The sequence below is a fragment of the Homo sapiens genome, chromosome 16, assembly GCF_000001405.40.
Source record: "Homo sapiens chromosome 16, GRCh38.p14 Primary Assembly".
In the NCBI taxonomy this organism is placed as follows: Eukaryota; Metazoa; Chordata; class Mammalia; order Primates; family Hominidae; genus Homo; species Homo sapiens.
Window position 1 is genome coordinate 49715410 of NC_000016.10, and position 18455 is coordinate 49733864.

Here is an 18455-nt window from a genome sequence, read left to right on the forward strand (position 1 = left end):
CCTGCAGTGGAATGAGCACGGCCTGTTGACGGCTCAAGAGGAGGAACTGAGGCCGGGCACGGCAGCTGGCACAAGTATCCCAGTGCTTTGGGAGGCCAAGGCAGGAGGAGTACTTGAGGCCAGGAGTCTGAGACTAGCCTGGGTAACTTACCAAGACCACATTTTTTCAAAATTAATATAAAATACTTAGCTGGGCATGGTGGTGTGCACCCATAGTCCTAGCTACTGGGGAGGCTGAGGTGGGAAGATGGCTTGAGCCCAGGAGTTCAAGGCTCCAGTGAGCAACAATCGTGCCAGTGCCCTCCAGCCTGGGTGACAGAGTGAGACCCTGTCTCCCAACAACAAAAGCCAGACACAGTGGCTCACACCTGTAATCCCAATACTTTGAGTAGCTGAGGCAGGAGGAATTTTTGAGGCCAGGAGTTCAAGACCAACCTGGGCAGCATAGAGAGACCCCATGTATGCAAAAAATCAAAAAAGTAGCTGGGCACAGTGGGGCATGGTGGTGCAAGCCTATAGTCCCAGCTACTCGGGAGGCTGAGGTGGAAGGATTGCTTGAGCCCAGGAGGTCGATGCTGCAGTGAGCTGTGATAATCAAGCAGGAGGAGGAGAAGCCGCAAGAGGCACAGGGCCAGGCAGGGGAGTGGATTCATCCCCAGGGCAGTGGGGGAGGAGCAGAGTCAGATGCAAGCTGTCCTGAGGACAGCGGAGGGCAGTTGAGGAGAAAAGGCTGGGTACAGGCTGGGTGCCCACAGGCAGATGCCAGCCATTGCCCCTCCCAAGTCTCCCTGCTGCCTGCCCCTCAGCCACCTTCCTTCCACCTACCTCCCACAACACACCCCACCAACCCTCAGAGGGGTCAGACCCGCTCCAGCAGATCTGACCTCATCACCCCCATCATGAGGCAGCACCAACCTGCTCAGCCAAGCCCTTGGAGAGGCTGAGACACTCCATATCCAAGGGCGGGGACAGAGGTGCAGGTGTGCTCCCCCAAGCTGGCTGCCATTCCCCCACCTGCAGAGCCACCTCGCCTGCCTCAGTCTTCCCACATGCACCCTCATACCCATGACGTCATTTCCAAAGGCAGCCAAATCCTAGCCAGTCAACTCCAAAATAAAACTGTTTAACACAAAATGAAGCATTTTATAATCCCCTGTACATTTTTTCTCTGAGTTGGCACAGAGTGTTTAAAAACACTGCCAAAACACTCAACCAATAGTAGCGCTTTATTTTAGACCAGTGCCAGAGTTAAATTTCCTTGCTCTTTTCCTGTTCCGAATCCCCCGCCTCTCCCTGCTCCCCGGCTTTTGCTGCGACACTAGAAGCAGTTCCTCCTGATCGCCCCTCTGAGCCACTAGGCCAGTGGGCTGGGGTGCTGGGGAGGCTGTGACCAGAGGAAAGTGGAATCCGCATTACGGGATGATCTGCTGGGAGCACTCCTTGACCTGCAAGCCCCAGTCAGCGGGAGATAAATTTGGTTGGTTTCTCATTTTGTTTGGGGATGTTCTTTATTTTTCTGTATTAGGGTGTCATGTTAGGGATGTCAATCACAGGATCTCAAGGTTTGAAGGAACCTGATAAATCCACATGCCCATCTCTCAGCCCCAAGCCTGCATCCCACTCTCCTCCCCCGCCACCCTCTGATGTGTTCATCTCCAGGCTTGCAAAGACTCTCACCAACCAAAACATCACTCCTTACACATAGGCCAGGCAGGTGTCCCTGGGGACTTCTGGAATTGGTCCTGGTCTGGCCCTTGGAGTATCAACATTAATGGAGAAAGGGGTGGACAGGTCTCATCCCCACTCCCCCACTGCCCTGGCACACAGAGGCATCTTACCCAGAGGCAATAATAAAAGCATCAGCCACTCAAGCCATACCTTCACCATCATAGGAACAGGCCCCCATGGAACTGGTAGGGCTGGCTGGACTTCCAGCCAAGCTCTTGCCTACCCCTCAGTTCAGGAGGTCAGGTCACCTGCTGTCTAGGTTAAATGGCCTCAGCTCCTTCTCTCTTCAGGCTGCTTCTGCGGCCAGCATCCATCCCCACTTCTTCTGCTAGCAGCACCCTGATTTCCTCTGGGGAAACTTTTCAGGTCTGCTATTCAGAGCACTTGACTTGACCTGAGCCAAAAGCCATCATGGCATTCCTCAGAGCCAGGAGATGCAGGAAGACTGGGTCCTTCGCCCTTCACTGGAGTCCCTGGATTCAGCTGCACCTGAAGATAGTCCTACACCTAGGTTTCTATTTACATGAGCCAATACATTGCACTGTTTGATTTCAGCTGGTTAGGATTTGGTTGTCTGACACTGGTCGGCAGGGAATCCCAACCTTCCAACTTGCAAGCATGACCCTGAGATCTCTCCTTCTCTGTCCTCCCTGAACCACTCCCTCCAGCAACACACAGAACAGACACTCTTTCTGCTTCTGCTGACATAGCGTCAGAGCACAGTAAATAACCCTTTGGCAGTGAACCGGCTCCTGTTCTTCATTTCCACACCACTCATGCACACATTGGCCAGTACTGAACTACTGGACTACCCCACAGAGGGAGGGGACCAACCAACTCATAGGAGTACATTCAAGAATCCCCTGGCCAAAGTTATCGAGGGGCCCAGTAAGCTACACAAGGGCAGGAACTGTTGTCTGTTTTGCTCACCCAGTGCTCACCCAGTGTTTTGCTCACCCAGTTCCCAGCACACAGTAGATGCTTTTAAAAAAAGCCTCTGTGGCTGGGTGTGGTGGCTCACACCTGTAATCTCAGTACTTTGGGAGGCCAAGGTGGGAGGATCACCTGAGTCATGAGTTCAAGACCAGCCTGGCCAACATGGTAAAACCCCTTCCTACTAAAAATACAAAAATTAGCTGGGTGTGGTAATCCCAGCTACTCAGGAGGCTGAGGCAGGAGAATTGCTTGAACCAAGGAGGTGGAGGCTGCAGTGAGCCGAGATTATGCCACTGCACTCCAGTCTGGGTGACAGAGTGATACTCTGTCTCAAAAATAAAAGATCTGTGAATGAACGCACACGTGCCAGGGGATGCTGTGGTTCTAAGGAACACACTTCTCTTTCATCCGTTAAGTTTGCTTGTTCCTTTGAGTGCCTGGAATTGTGGAGTAAGGAATGGAAGAAGAGAGCATCAACACTTTTCAGCTCTGTCTTAAGTCTGTTCAGGCTCATATAACAACAATACCAGAAACTGGATGGCTTCTAAACCACAAATGTTTATTGCTCACAGTTCTGGAGGCCGGGAAGTCCAAGATCAAGGTGCTGGGAGATTCTGTGTCTGGTGAGGGCGCATTTCTCATAGACAACACAGTCTTGCTGCGTCCTCACATGGTGGAAGGAGCTGGGCAGTCCTCTGGGTCCCCTTTTGTAAGAGCACTCATCCCATTCTTCCAGAGCCTTCATGACCTAATCACCTCCTACAGGCCCACTGCTTAATACTACCACATTGGGGATTAGATTTCAACAAACGAATTTGGGGGAAAAGCAAACATTCAGACCATAGCCAGTTATAATAAAGGACTCTTCTAGAACAACTCCCCTCTATTTGCCTCTTTTACCCCAAAATCAGGTCAGGATCCCAGCTGGAGGCTATTCCTATCCTCACCCACAGGCATTTCTCAAAGCTTTTGCAAACCTCAAATTGGTAGTAACCGAGATTGATTACTCAGGGAACACAATTTTCAGATCTTTATGCCCAACAGAATCCAGAATTAGCACAAGCACCTCCAGGAGAAAGGCAGCAGGGCCTCTCTGGGGGGCTCTGGCCTTTGCTTTTCCCGCCCAGGGGTGAGACAGAGGATAAGGAGGGCAGGAAGTGCCGGCCTAATGAAAAAGCAGACCTGACGGGAAAGGAAGAGCAGCTCCACGTGACGGGCCCTGAGCTGGCTCAGTGACACTGAGGTTTTAGAGCTATACACTAATACACTGGGGGAAAAAACTTATTATTGAAATATCTACAGAATAAAGAAAAGACCTTGTTAGTGCAATTTTAGAATACGTAGCTGCATCCCTCTTTCTCCCTCTGGCTGATGGCAAATGATGTGGTTTTTTGGTAACACTTGGGTGATATAGTCTGGCTCTGTGTCCCCACCCAAATCTCATGTGGAATTGTAATTCCCAGTGTTGGGGAAGGGGCCTGGTGAGAGGTGATTAGATCATGGGGGCAGATTTCCCCCTTGCTGTGCTGGTGATGAGTGAGTCTCACAAGATGTGGTTGTTTAAAAGTGTGTGGCACCTCCCCCTCACCCTATCTCTCCTGATTCACCATGCTATGATGTCCTTGCTACCCCTTCACCTTCCGCCATGATCGTAAGTTTCCTGAGGCCTCCCAGCCATGCTGCCTGTACAGCCTGAGGAAATGCAAGTCAATTAAAAACCTCTTTTCTTCATCAATTACCCAGTCTCAGGTAGTTCTTTATAGCAGTGTGAAAATGAACTAATATACTGGGTTTCTCAGGAACGCACGAGAGAGGTTCAGCATAGCTGGCTGATTTCAGAGTTGCCTCTCAACACCATCTGGGCACCTGAGCCACTCAGGCTCAAGGCTCCGACTAACTTGGTGGCTGCCCAGCCTCTCTCCAGCCTGGCCTGAGACCTGAACATAATATTGTAGGGGCCAAGCCGCTGGTGGATGCCACGAGGGCTTGACACACCATTACCCCACCTTCCACCTCCCAGAGCACTGCCCCCAAAGGACCAAGCAGCAGAGGTTCAGGGGGACCATGGCTTTATGGAACACCCAAGGTGGGGGCACAACTTCTATGAAGTTTGTTAGAATTCAAGGGTCAAAGTCACTCTTCCACAAGATGCAAACAAAGAAAAGGTCCAGTGCAAACAGTGTGAGGTCCGTGGGTCTGGAGACCTCAAAGACAGTGAGCTCGATGTGGCATTCCCAGAAGCACCCATGAGCCAGGCAGGAGCTGCATATACACGGGCACCTCCTGCCAGAAAACATGGGTGCCCTGCAGGCTGCACTAGTCCCCTGTCCACCCTGGGAGCTGCAATCCCACCCCCCACCAGCAGTTAGCAGATAACCTCAGAGAGTGCTGGCTAAGCTACCACCTCCCTGTGTGACCTGGGACAAGTACTACCTCACTAAGGAGCCTGGTCCAGTCAGTGCCCTGGCTGTGTTTGAGAGACTGGTTCTGCCATTGTTTCAACCACATTCAAACCAAAAAAGGTTTGAGGATATACACACCAAGGATTCTGCTTCCCTAAAATTCTAAGATTACCTGACTAGACACTGTCAAAAGCAAAAGTATTGGTTATCAATTGATAACTGATACCTGACAATCTGGCATTTCATTGCACTCTTTTACTACTTCCTGTTTGTCTGCATGTAATTCCTACCTCCTAAAGAAGATGTCTGTGGCTCCTGACCACCATTCAGGGGAGCCCCTCCCCAGCTCTCAGGCCCAGTGGTCTGCATGGAGCTGCCCTGATTCCCCGCACCCAACCCTGACCCTTGCTAACATGTATGTTGTCTCCCTGGCCGCATCATGGGCGGGGGTGAGTCTTGGTCCTGGCCATTCTACAGAGTCAACCTCAGGACTTCTACCCTGGCAATGGTAAGAGGCTGCTCATTCCATTGTCACTGCTGAGTCGAAAAGGTGGAGCCTGGAGGTGCTGGGGCACCTCTGCTGATGTACACACGGTGATGGGGTTCATGTCAACAGACATGGGGCAGTGTCTCTGGAGGCCCTGGAGGACCAAGCTTGAGGCCAGCCTTACATCTGCATTTCTCAGTTCCTGGAGCCAATGAATCCTCTATTTTCTGCTTGTCAATTTGAGCCAAGTCTCTATGCAGATAGCACATTAACTGAGGACCAACTATGTGCTGGCAGCCAAAAGGATCACAGCAACTTCATCCTCCAGCTAGACTATACATTTCCCTTAACGGGAATGAATGAACACCCATGCACAGGCATTCACGGCCCCGAATACACAGCAGGTATGGTATCACTGCTTGCTGACAGGTGCCCTCTGGAAACTCCCAAGATGAAATGGACAACAGCAGGCTGGACCCAGACCACACCGGGAACACATGTACAACCAGCCTAAAGGCCAGTTTGGTGTACATCCTGGGCCCAGGAGGACACCGGAAGCTTTGGCTGCTGCCAGGAAGGTAACAGAAACCGGGGACAGCCCACCTCGCTCCCCAAGAACCATCTCCAGAATCAACCCCCAGGCTCATCCCAGGGGCTTTGTACAGCAGCAACACCCATCGTGCCAGGCGCCACACTGGATCCCACTCTGGCGCACCCTTGGAAACCAAAGAATCCAAGAAGCTCAATTATTCAGAAAATCATGAAGGTGGTCAAGCAGGCTGGGTAGGAAAGAAGCAAAAACCTCCTCCACTTTGGAGAGTCCTCAAAACCTCCAGAAAGACACATAGACTGTAGACACATAGACACGGTCTATGCCTTTTTTCCCATGGAAAACACAAGAAATGCAGAATCTTCCCACCTTGACCCCTGCCTTCTATATTGTTAATTTGTCATCCAATTTTGGGGAGGTTTACAGGCCCAACAGTGTGATAACAGCATTCGCTCTATGTAATCAAGTCAAGGGAGGGATGCTCTGCAACCTGCGGACTTCGCAGGCGGTGAATAAAAATGTCAGCAACTAAGAAACAAGTCCCCACCACCACCACATTACCACCAGGAAGGAACCCAAGACACAGCTGTCTGAGCCAAGACTCAGAACCACCGTCTATGCAGCCTGCTGGTTCCCCAGCTTACTCCGGATGGTTCCCCATCAGAAGCCATCGGAGGGCAGGGGGCAGGCAATTTAGGGAAGGCTTCCACAAATGCCACCAGCCAAGCAGACCCAGGCTGGCCGGTGGTCCACCCTGCCCATCCACTTCCCTCCCAAGTGGAAGCCTGCTAGCAGGTCAGCATCTTCCTGAGAGCTATAGAGAATAACGTCTCTGTTCATCAAAGCCCCTCTTAAGGACACTAGAGAAGGAGGCTGTTTAAAGACCACCACAGCACTTCATCACACAAGTCAAAGCATCCTTTTGTGAAGTGAACACCTTCTCCACTGAGCTACCTTTTATAATAGCCTCCACATCCCTAGAGCCCAGAGGGTCCCTGCTAATAGCACACACTAAAGAAACACTTATTGTATGAACGAACCATCTCTTCCATCTCTAAACTTACCCTTCTGATTATACATTAATTGAGGACCTACTATGTCCAGAACTTCTGTTTTTTCTATCTCATATCCCAAAGCACTGTATCCATGGCATTTCCACTTTTCTTACTGCACACACCCCTTTGCCTTGCAGGAGGGCTGTAGCCTCCTTAGCCCCAAGAACAAACATTCCTTGAGCACCTACTATGTGTTCTAGCCACAGGCCAAAGCAATCCTGCGGAGAGGGAAGAGAATAAGACCCCAAGCCTGGACATCATGGAACACAACCTGACCAGTGAGATGGTGTTGGCAAACTTTTTGATCTGTGCCATTCTGGTATTTTTAAAATGGTATTTCCTTATGGTTTAAATTTGCAGTTCCCTTACTATAAACGGGGTTCTAATTTTTTTTTTTTTTTTTTTTGAGACTGAGTGTCACTCTGTCGCCCAGGCTGGAATGCAGTGGTGTGATCTCGGCTCACTGCAAGCTCCGCCTCCTGGGTTCATGCCATTCTCCTGCCTCAGCCTCCCGAGTAGCTGGGACTACAGGCACCCGCCACCACGCCCGGCTAATTTTTTGTATTTTCAGTAGAGACGGGGTTTCACTGTGTTAGCCAGGATGGTTTCAATCTCCTGACCTCGTGATCCGCCTGCCTCGGCCTCCCAATAAATATTTTTTAAATATTTAGGATCCCACTAGTATTTCTTTCTCTGGTTCCATTTCTGTCCATTTCTGTAGTTTGCACATGGGAGATATTCAAAACATCTAACCACCAGTGTGGCACCAATGGATCAGAGACGGTACAGACCTTGGGGAAGGCCAGGCATCTCAAGCAGGCTTGGCTGTGCCTCAACCTAGCCTTTGCCATGTTTTTTTGTGTTGATTTATTGGCTATTTTCTTAGCATTTGTAGGAGTTCCTTACACATTAAGGAAAACATCTTTTGCCTGTGATATGTGTCCCTGGCTTGATTTACTGTGGTTTTCACAATGTAGAATTTTTTTATTTTTATGTAGTTGAATGTTTTGACTTTGGTTTTATGGCTTCTGACACTGGGGTTATATTTAGAAAGGCCTTCCTCACTCTGATACTATTGAATTAAAATATTTAAAAGCTCTCTGTTTTCTTTTAGTATTTTAAAGTTTTCTTTTTATGTTTAGATTCCTGATCCACTTGGGATTGAGTTTGGTGTCAGGAGTGAGGGAAGGATCCAATTTCCTTTTTGGGGGATGGCCACCTTTTCATCCTAATCCCAGTTGCTGAGAGAGCCATCTGTCCTCCACTGTCGTGCAGGGACACCCTTCTCATACACTAGATTTCCAGTTGTATTTGGGTCCATTTCTGTTTCACACCACTTCGAATCCTTTCCGCTCCAGAGCAATCTGAGCTGGTTCCTGTCCCCACTCCCTGTTCCTTTTCCAGAAGATTCCTTCTGATGCCTGCATACCCACTATTTCTTATGAACTATAAATTCAGCACATCCATTTCTAAACAAATCTTACCATTGCTTTCATTAGCTAACATTAAGCCAATAGGTTCGTTTGGAGGAAATTGGCATATTTATGATACTGAATCTTTCCACAAGAATAAGAGTAAGGTCTCTTCTGTGTTCCCTGTCTTCCCCCCACCATAATTGATTTTGTTTGTCTGTCCTCTCCATGCCGTTTGAATGTTTCTTACTGGGTTTGCTCCCTGGTTTTTATACATTTTGTGGCTGACATAACGGGACCATTTCTTGCTCTGTGTTTCCTAACTGGAAGCTGTCTGCATGCAGGAAAACTCTTAAGATAGGGGGCGGATATCAATTGTGCTCAAGCCCCTAGCCTTTTGCGCCATGTGAAGTCAACTGACACCAAGGCCCCGAGTGCATTCCCTGTGGGCAGAAGGAGCCCACACCCAGCACCTGTGTATCAGGTAGCACAGTGTCTGGCACTGGCCCCAGCCCCACACTGCACGACCAAAACAGAGCCAGTTCGAGGAGCGCCGCAAGTCAGTAAGGCAGGGAGCCCCTCATGCTTTTGGAGCAAGAAAGGGGCCTGAGCCAGCACAAAAAGGCAAGCGCTGGCCAGCCGGCCGACAGCACACGGCTGGCAAAGGTGCCAGCTCCACACAGCACCAGCCCTGTAATTGGGGCCCACAGGTCACTCTGGCCACAGCTGAACAAACCAGGGTGTAATTAACTTTCCACCCGGCTTGTTGCACAGCAGCATTTCACCTTCGCCAGAAAAGGAGGGCCTACCTTTCACAGGGGCCAGGGAAACACTCTTTGGTCCCAGTCCTCAAGAAGGGATAGCGGAGAGGGGAGCCGCAAAATTAACCCACCAGGAACACATTTTTTGCTGTTGCTATTTCAACAAAGTCCCCCCTCTTGTTTTTTTGGAAGTTGAGCATTCAAAAAAGCCATCTGGAGTTTAGTTTGAAATTGCTCACAGTCCCCAATCTGTGTTCTCAAGCACAGGCAAGCTGTTCCGACCTCAGAGCTTGCCTTTACTGACACGATCTGTAACCTTGAGCAAGGTCCTCCAGCTCTCTGAGCCTCAGTCACCCAATTGCAAAATGAGGACGAATGGTAGAAAATAGTGCCTAGCTTTGGGAGGCCCAGGCAGGAGGATTGCCTGAGGCCAGGAGGTCATGATCAACCTAGGCAACATAGCAAGACCTCATCCATACAAGAAAAAATTAAAAATGAGCCAGGTATGGTGGGGCATGCCTGTGGTCCTAGCTCAGGAGGCTGAGGCGGGAGGATCGCTTGAGCACAGGAAGTCGAGGCTGCAGTGAGCTACAAATGGCACCACTGCACTCCAGGCTGGGCAACAGAACAAGACCCTGTCTCTTAAAAAACTAATTAATTAAAAAAAATGAAGACAGCGTCACCTTGGACACCAAAGGTGATTGTTATAAAGACTAGGTGAGATGATTCATTCATTCAACAAACATGTTGAATTCTACTCTAGCGCTGGGCTAGAACATAACGGGGAACAAAACAGGTATGGCTGTTGTCCTCATGCAGCTTAATAGTAGGGAGAGAGATGGGTGAGAAACACGTGAAAGACAATTACAGAAAGGGATGGGTGCTCTGGACTGTGTGGGCGTGGGGGCTGCAGAGGGCCAGCAGGGAGGGCTGCAGGGCGTGTGTTCCAGGCAGAGTCCCATAGTGCCTCGCGGGCAGTAGGCACTGAAAACACAAAGAATATCAGGACTACAGCCTTCACTGCAGTGTGGAGGAGGCAACACCTGCTCACACATTTGCCCCCAGCACCAGACTGCCAGCCCCTGGAGGGCAGCACGCACCCCATCTGCTTCAGAGCCACCTCTCTAGGGCCCGCCAGGAGCCTGGCCCAACTCAGAGATCAGGGAACGGAGCTGAAGGGAAGACACCAATGCTGAGCTCCAAACTGGTCCTGAAGGCGATTTCTATTCCAAGGCAAGTGCCTGGAGCCCGCAGTCTTACTACCTACAACAAAAAGCCATATATCAGGCCAGCAGCCCCTTTAGCAAAGAGGCCAAAGACCCCAAAAGCTGTCAAGTGCTCCAGCCCCGGGGACCTGGGCTGGCATGTTCCAGGACTGGCACAGCACAGGCCCCTGCTGACAGCCCACTGTGGACACTCTGAGGAACAGCACTAGGAAAGTCAGGTCTCAAGCATGACAGCGCAGACGGAGCACCCACACGCCCTCCAGCTGCCAGCCTCTTAATTCAGGCCAAAGCAGGGGTCAACATAAATTGCAGTATCTCTAAAAGGGAGTATTTGCACCAGGAAGTGAAAAATCCAGACTACAGGCCCACAGGTGACTGGCTTCAGTGAGCACATAAAAAACCACCATCACCCCATGGGCAAACCAAACCTCTCGCACCTGCTTCTATGGTACCCCAGGCAGTTCCTAGAGAAACTTTCTAAAGCAGTCCAAGTCCTCCTGGCTCCTAGAAGATGATGATAAACACCCCCTGCTGCAGTTTAAAGGACCCAAATTTGCTTGGCCAGCGCTTCACAAATTATGACGTTATTTGTTCCAACATGATTTAAATCAGTGAGACCTGAATTGACAGGGACTGCCCATCCTTGGCAATTCAGACAGCCACCAAATCCTTTGCCATTTCCTGACTTGGTGCCCACAAACAATGTCTCCATTAGGAACAGAGAAGCCCATCACACTTACCCAGTCAGCCCCTATCTACACTGTGGCAAAAAGCCTCATCTACAGACATCTTAGTCTAAATTTAATATTTTCAGAGTATGGACACAGTACCTGCAACCCAAGCTTCCTGCCCTTGAGCACTGCTATTTAAAAGACAGAGTTCCCCCTAGCAAAAAAAAAAAAAAAAAAAAAAAAAAATGGCGAAGACCAGGTAACCACATGGGAACCCCTTCATAACATGTTATGTGACAAACACAGAACGTGAAAACGTATGTGCTCACAACCCCAAGCATGCGAACGTGTGGCATCCTGTGGCCAGGGGCTGGAGAGGAACAAAGAAAAATCAAACAGACATCAGGGCGGGAGAATGAATGGAGAGGACTGGATTTTTGCTCTTTTCAGTTTGTGTCATAAAAATGCAATGTTTGATACCTCATGGGTTTAAGGTTGGTTTCTCCTCAGACACAAATGAGAGCGAGAGGGAGAGAGAGGAACAGGACTTGATGGAGTTGTCCGAGACCTTAAAGTCCACGCTTCAACAGCTCATGGGCCCGGCATGCCACTCCTGCTGAGGACAACAGAGAGGTGCCTTCTCGAGCTCCCAACTGGAAATGAAGGCTCCTTAGCACAGAGGCCGGGCTCCAGGTTGGGGACGGGGGGGTCTTCCATCGTGGCCATTCTGGCATGAAGCTCCCCTCCCACCCCTGAGGGGTAAGCATCCCCCCACCTCAGAAAACCCCCAAACCTCACCACAGCACTGTCCCAGATTCTGAGGGAGCAAAACGCTGCCCCCAATCTCCCCCTCAACACCACCCCAACTGCCATAGAAAGATACAGAAGCAGTTTTCAGGAAGAGCCACATTCACGGTCACCGCCCACAAATACACCCCCGACACCCCAACACACAGCACTCTCCCCAGAAGGCCAATGGCTTGCAAGGGCTGACCCTGCCAGGACACACCCGTTTGGGGAGGCACGTGCTGCCTCCACGTTCCAGCAGCAACAGTCCCTATGAAGGGGAGGGTTGTTCACACCCCAGGTCACGATTCCTGAGAAGCAGGCCCTCTGCTCCAGGCCAAGTGGGCAGACCCTCTGGTTCCTACAGAAACATCTGCAGGGCACCATGGTCTGCCCAGCCTGCGCCCAGCGCGGCCCTCTCGGACACGGTCTCTATTGGGCTTCTATCGAGTGACCAGTGGTGAGAGTCCAGCAGACCCATCAGCCTGGCCAGGGGGAGCCTGCGATTGCACATTTATATCAGTTCCAAACCTTTAAATCAGAGGCCAATTTTCAAACAACATCATCTGCTAAAGCCCCAGGTATAAAACAGACTTTTAAGGTGAATCGCTCCGACTGGACTGGACATCAGTGCCCCCTCAGTCTGACAGGCCCCAGTACTCACTTCCTACACCCCAAACACACCACACCATAGCCCCAGAGATACCTCTGGGAACACAGTTCGAAAACCACTGCACAATGGAAGGGTGTGGAGGCATTCCAGGTAGGGAACTGTTTTGAATAATACATACGCAATTCCCGGTGGTTTATCCCATCATTGAGTAATCCTAAGAACCGAAGACCTGGGGGAAAGTAACTCCTCACACATCTAGGAAACTATCCCAGGCTGGGTCATGCCTTTACCAGGCGGTAATGAATTTCTCAGGGATGCGCTTAGGCAAGGTTGTTTCCCTCATTCTTTCAAGGAATTTCTGACTCCCTTCCAATGCTCCAGGATTTGGGGGTATTCCTAGCTCCTGCGTCCCCACGGAGGTCATTAGCAGGGTCCTGTTAGGAAGCGGGCAGGAGTGTCGGTGGATACCACCAGCATCAATAAGGACAGCTGGGGACCCTGCAAACAGGGCTGCCATGGATTTCACCTGGAGTCAAAGGCTGATGAGAGAAGGGTTTGCCACTGGGAGGAGGATTCTTCCTGGGGACCAAAGCACAATTAGCTACCAGTTCTTATTTCTGGCTCAGACTCTCACATATAGCCCAGTTTCCCAGTTTCCTTTTTCCACCTAGAAGTGCCACCATTCTTTTATTTATTTATTTATTTTCCTTTTTTGAGATGGGGTCTCGCTCTGTCACCCAGGCCAGAGTGCAGTGGCATGATCTTGGCTCACCGCAACCTCCATCTCCCGGGTTCAAGCGATTCTTTTGCCTCAGCCTCCCAAGTAGCTGGGACTACAGGCATGTGCCATCACGCCTGGGTAATTTTTGTATTTTTAGTAGACATGGGGTTTTACCATATTGGCCAGGCTGGTCTTGGACTGCTGACATCGTGATCCGCCTGCCTCAGCCTCCCAAAATGCTGGGATTACAGGCATGAGCCATCGTGCCCAGCCCGAAATGCCACCATTCTTAAAAGTGAGACTGAAAGACAGGAGAATCTCCTTGATTTGAAGGGCTGGAGGAAGGGGCAGCCTCTAAGAGCTGCAGGGACTCAAGAAAGCACAGCTTAGCAGAAGGTGTGGGGCCCTGCTCTAACAACTACACAGAATGGCCTATTCTCTTGCATTTAGAAAATAAAGAGAATAACTTTTCATTAGATCAATTAGTTGATTATAAAGTAAGTGGCAATATTTTATTCTCTTATAGTTAAGATTCCATGTTAATTCTTGGCTAAATCAAGAAATATACCAACATCTATAATATTATTCCTCAAGTAGGATGAGGGTCAATAGCTCAGTGTCCAGAGGAGGTCCTAGCTTGGCCACCAAACAGATATGTGACCCCGGCCAAGCAATCACCTTTTCCTCCCTTTGCCCTAGTATTTCCCTTGGGGAAGTGAGGAGACTTAAAAAGCTAACCTCATAGGTCCCTTCTAATTCTGATTTAGAATTGAAAATTAACCATCACCTCTGCCTCTGGTTGCAATATCACAAATTCCAAATGACTGGGGTTTGGATTACTGGGCCCCAAAATGTCCAAAACTGTAAGATTCCTCTTAGGTCTATTATTATTATTATTATTATTATTATTATTATTATTATTATTATTTTAAAAATATCTGTTCCTCCAGAGGTTGAGAATGGGAACTTGGTCTAGCCAGCCCTGTGCAGGCACAGATGTCACTAGAGGGCAAATCATAGCAGTTCCCCAAACACTTAATTTCAAAATTCCAAGATGATATGAGGAGTAGAAAAAGCAAGAGCTTTGGGTGCCAATCTAATCCCTACCAGTAAATGTTCCCCTCAACAAGTGATGGGTTCCCTTTAGAATGCAGGCCTGAGATTTCAGGCTTTCTTCCACAAACCAGTATCCAAGGAGCTTCATCAACAACCCTGATGGAAGAAGGTCTCTCAGGAAGACTGTGTAAGGAACACAGGTCCTATGGACTCCCTCTGCAGATCTCAGAGCCCAGAAATGTGTCATCCCTGTAGCATGGCTTCCACATCCCAGGGAATGCACATGCCCTCTGACTCCCCACCCCAATCACCCCAGACAAATACACATATACACACAAAACTCCTGAAGTCTTCAGTAGCTCCTAGAAAACTGGTCTTACACACCCTCTCCAAGGCACCAAGTAAATGGAGAACAGAGCTCCAGTCAAATCTAGCAGAAGCAGCTCCCAGCTACCCTTCTCCTCCTACTCAGAGAAGTGTGAGGTCAAGCACAGAGTTGGAAACAGGTCCCTTTTTCACGGGCTGTCCTTGGCCTTTGAAATTTCCTCATCCCATCAGAAGCTCTGCCTCGGAGCTTACTCCTTTATGCAGCTTTCCACACTTAAGCTGCTTAACTTTGCACTAACAACCTCTTAATTACTGCGTTTCCAAAAGGCCTTCCAGAAATTCAGGGTGCACATCCACCCATTCATGGCCTGAGTACCAGAGCACAGCTTGCGGGGAGAGGGGGCCGGGACAGAGCACCACCATCTAATTCCTGCCTGCCGGAAAGCTGTTGCTTTTATTTTTAATTGTATTTAAAAGGCGGATACAGGGTACCCAAGACACCACAATAAAATGACATTAACTGTAAAATTACATTATTAATTCTTTAATCTCACTTGAGGCTTCAAGCTGTTGCTATGTCCAATTACCCGTGTAACCACCTGTCAGAGTCCTGGGGCTGTTTTGCATTACCTCCAGGACAGCGGTGGGCCCGGTGGTCCGTCAGGTCTGCCAGAGACTCGAAGTCCTGCTGACAGTGATCGCAGGTGTAAATTGATTCATCCTCCATGTCTTCATCATCCTCATTTCTCTCCTCTTGACTTGTCACGCTGTTCCTGTCTTCCAGCGCACGGCTGGTTTTCTGATCGCACTCTGGCTCTCCTTCTAGGCCTCCTGCCAACAGGAAGAATACAGTCCATGTCAGCTGATGGGGTCTTGGGAAAGGGTTTTAAAAGAATCGCCCGGCATTTATTAAGATACATTTAATTACTCTACCTCCCGGGGTCCATTATCCTTGACACCTCTCAGTATATTAATAGATGGGGTTTTTTTGTAGCATGTGGTGCCATAATTCTCAACCAGATTCTTTAATTCTTGGTGCAAATCTTCTAGGGGGATTTCCTGTCATCTCCCCTCTGTGCACGGATGCTGGGGGCCGTGACCCATCGGAGAGGTGAAAAACCTTATTTGTCTCCTAAAAACCAGATTCAGTTACACACCTTTTTAAAGCCTCCATCAGCTGTTCCTAACACACCTAAACTTTTAGTTTTCCCCACAGCCTTGCAATTTAGAGCTGGGAGATCTCTTAGCCAAGTTCGCCTTCCACACAACAGGCCTCCCAGGGCAGTGACGTTGGCTCAGTTCTTTGCAAAGATGTCCAACTCTGAAATAAAGGAAGTACACATGTTTGAAGAACCATGGATGGTCGAATCTCAAGCTTAAAATGCATCCAGGCTGGGCATGGAATCTCACACCTATAATCCTAGCACTCTGAGAGACCAAGGTGGGAAAATTGCTGAAGGCCTGGAGTTTGAGACCGGCCTGGGCAATATAGCAAGACTCTATCTCTACAAAAAAAAAAAAATTTTTTTTTAATTAGCCTGGTATAGTGGTGTGTGCCTGTAGTTCTACCTACTCAGGAGGATTGCTAGAGACCAGGAGTTCGAGGTTACGGGGAACTATGATCGTGCCACTGTACTCCAGCCTGGGCCTGGACCCTATCTCTAAAAAATATAAAATAAAATAAATAGTGTCACCTGTGACCTGGTACAGGCCTAGACAGTTAGAATCAGTCGTGGAATGATCTCACTGATTTCTTTAAAATAAAACAGCTACTGTGCTTAGCACTGTGCAGAGAGTGGCTAATCTATAGGGAAAAGTGAATTCGTAATCATAATGATGCCTTGCAATTGTGCTGTGTTCCGTGCTTCTTCAAAGCCACCATTATATATGCACAGCCCCATTTCACAGTCTTGCATATCCTAAACTCAAAGAAGGCTCAAAGGATCATGTGATCCAACCCCCTGCAGAGAGGGACAGCTTTGTCTCACAGGTAAGGTACCTGGCATCCAACCAGAAGAAGCAACAGCCCAAGCACCCTACAGAGGCTCAGCTCAACTTCGTGACTCCTGGTCTAGTTCACTTCCCTGCACAACTGTGGGTAATGGAGCACAGCCCCAATCTTACAGATTAATAAGACACACCAGGAACTTGTAAATCAAAGTGCAAAAGCGTGTGGTAAATATAACCCACAGAATATATCAGTAATCCTAATAAATGTCAATGGATAAAATTTGTGTGTTAAAATGCAGAGACCCTCGGATTGGAAAATAAAAGTGTGTGTTGTCTCTTCCCACAGCCTGTCCTGGAAAACAGATTTACCCATCCGGAAACTAGCTGCACTGATTTAAATCAAAGAAAGAGATCTTATTATCCATAAAGGTGTTTTTGAAAGCATATGTACATATGCAAAAGTGCGTGTATGTGCACCTGTATGTACATGTGTGTACATGCAACATCACAGTTACAGGAAAAGGCTCAGTGCACAACCTGCAAACCCCTGAGGGCGGGCGCCAAAGCAAGAAAGACAGACACGAAGCAAAGAATGCACTCAATTCAAGGTGGAAACCACAGTCCTGTGAATATTTCAATTTGGAAACAGATAATGTTATAAGGGCTCTATTTCTCCTGTCTGCACAGAACATGCCCTTCCAAGCACCCGACATCAAGAACCTGGGAACACAAATCGGCTCATCGGAGAGCCAGCTGCTTCCTTCCAAGGCGGGGAACGTTGCACGACACGCCGCCTGGAACTGCGCGGAGGCAGTAAAAATCAATGTTTCCATTTGTGGCCCATCAAAACATCTCTCTTCTTACCAATTAAGGGATGTACAGTTTTTAGGTTCTTTTATTATCAGAACGCGCCAACTCCTGGCAATACAGAAATCCCATTAAAAGTCAGGCAGCATATTTATCTCAGGGAATCTGATCTGCCGCTGCAGTGAGGGTAAGAAATAGAAAGCAAAGAAATGAGAAATATCATTTGGAGCCTTCGATATTGTAAGTCATCATACAACCATGGTTACACAGTCAAGTGCCCGTCTCCGAAATTCCTCGTTTACAGTCTTTCCTTAATAAAAAAAAAATGTTCTGTAGAAAGGGAAAATAAAAGAGCCATAATTCTGGCTTTATCTACTACACCGACCCTCCAGATAATAAGTTACAATCAGCACCACACTTGTGCTACTTTACTTAACACACAATTTAATAGACATATTTAAATTATCCCCTCGTTATTTTTTTGCCGTATTTACTTGGCAGCACTTTCTATAATAGCTCATCTAATCCACAACTGGAACCACAAACATCACAATGTATTTGATCTCTTTAAATCTGGTACATCCTGTTGACTCGGGAGTAGATAAATCAGAATGTCAACTCTCAGGTTTTTATAAGGCAAAAACCCATAAAGTCATCCAAGAGTATAAATCTGTTTTAAGCAACTGTCACCTCCCCTATGGCCGGCTACTAATGGGAAGGGAGGGTGGCTGTGCAGAAAGGGATGGAGACGAAGGCGAGCTCAGGCCACACAAAGGCGCGGACCTCATCCTCTGGGCTCCCAAGGGGTCCCAGCCTGGCCCTCAGGGAGGTGACACAAGACAGGGAAGACTCAGGGGCCTGAAGAAGTTTTGGGGAGTGGGACTTCCCTGAAGACCCAAGGGCCCCTCTGCTGATTCAGCAGAATCAGGCGCTGGAGAACAGGAAGGCCTCCACCCCAGGCAGGGTT

General features: G+C 48.8%; 1 protein-coding gene across 13 annotated transcripts in view, besides 1 other annotated feature; it reads right to left on the reverse strand.

Annotated features, from left to right (window-relative positions):
• ZNF423 (zinc finger protein 423) overlaps positions 1-18455 on the reverse strand; it is a 371756-nt gene that overhangs the window by 227886 nt on the left and 125415 nt on the right. For 11 of the 13 annotated variants that reach the window (XM_047433809.1, NM_001379286.1, XM_047433808.1 and 8 more), the window contains one exon: positions 15362-15562. In XM_047433809.1, coding sequence (XP_047289765.1) covers positions 15362-15458 — 97 coding nt within the window. In that variant the 5' untranslated portion in view covers positions 15459-15562. Of the gene's footprint in view, positions 1-15361; positions 15563-15664; positions 15843-15888; positions 16053-18455 lie in introns of those variants that run through there. The other 2 variants (XM_005255856.5, XM_017023078.2) reach the window with 2 other exon arrangements.
• Positions 4259-4760: an enhancer, noted in NCBI's record as "H3K4me1 hESC enhancer chr16:49753579-49754080 (GRCh37/hg19 assembly coordinates)". NCBI's record gives its function as "activates a minimal SCP1, AML or CMV promoter by ChIP-STARR-seq in naive H9 embryonic stem cells {active_cell/tissue: H9 hESC(naive)}" and the evidence as "EXISTENCE:reporter gene assay evidence [ECO:0000049][PMID:30033119]".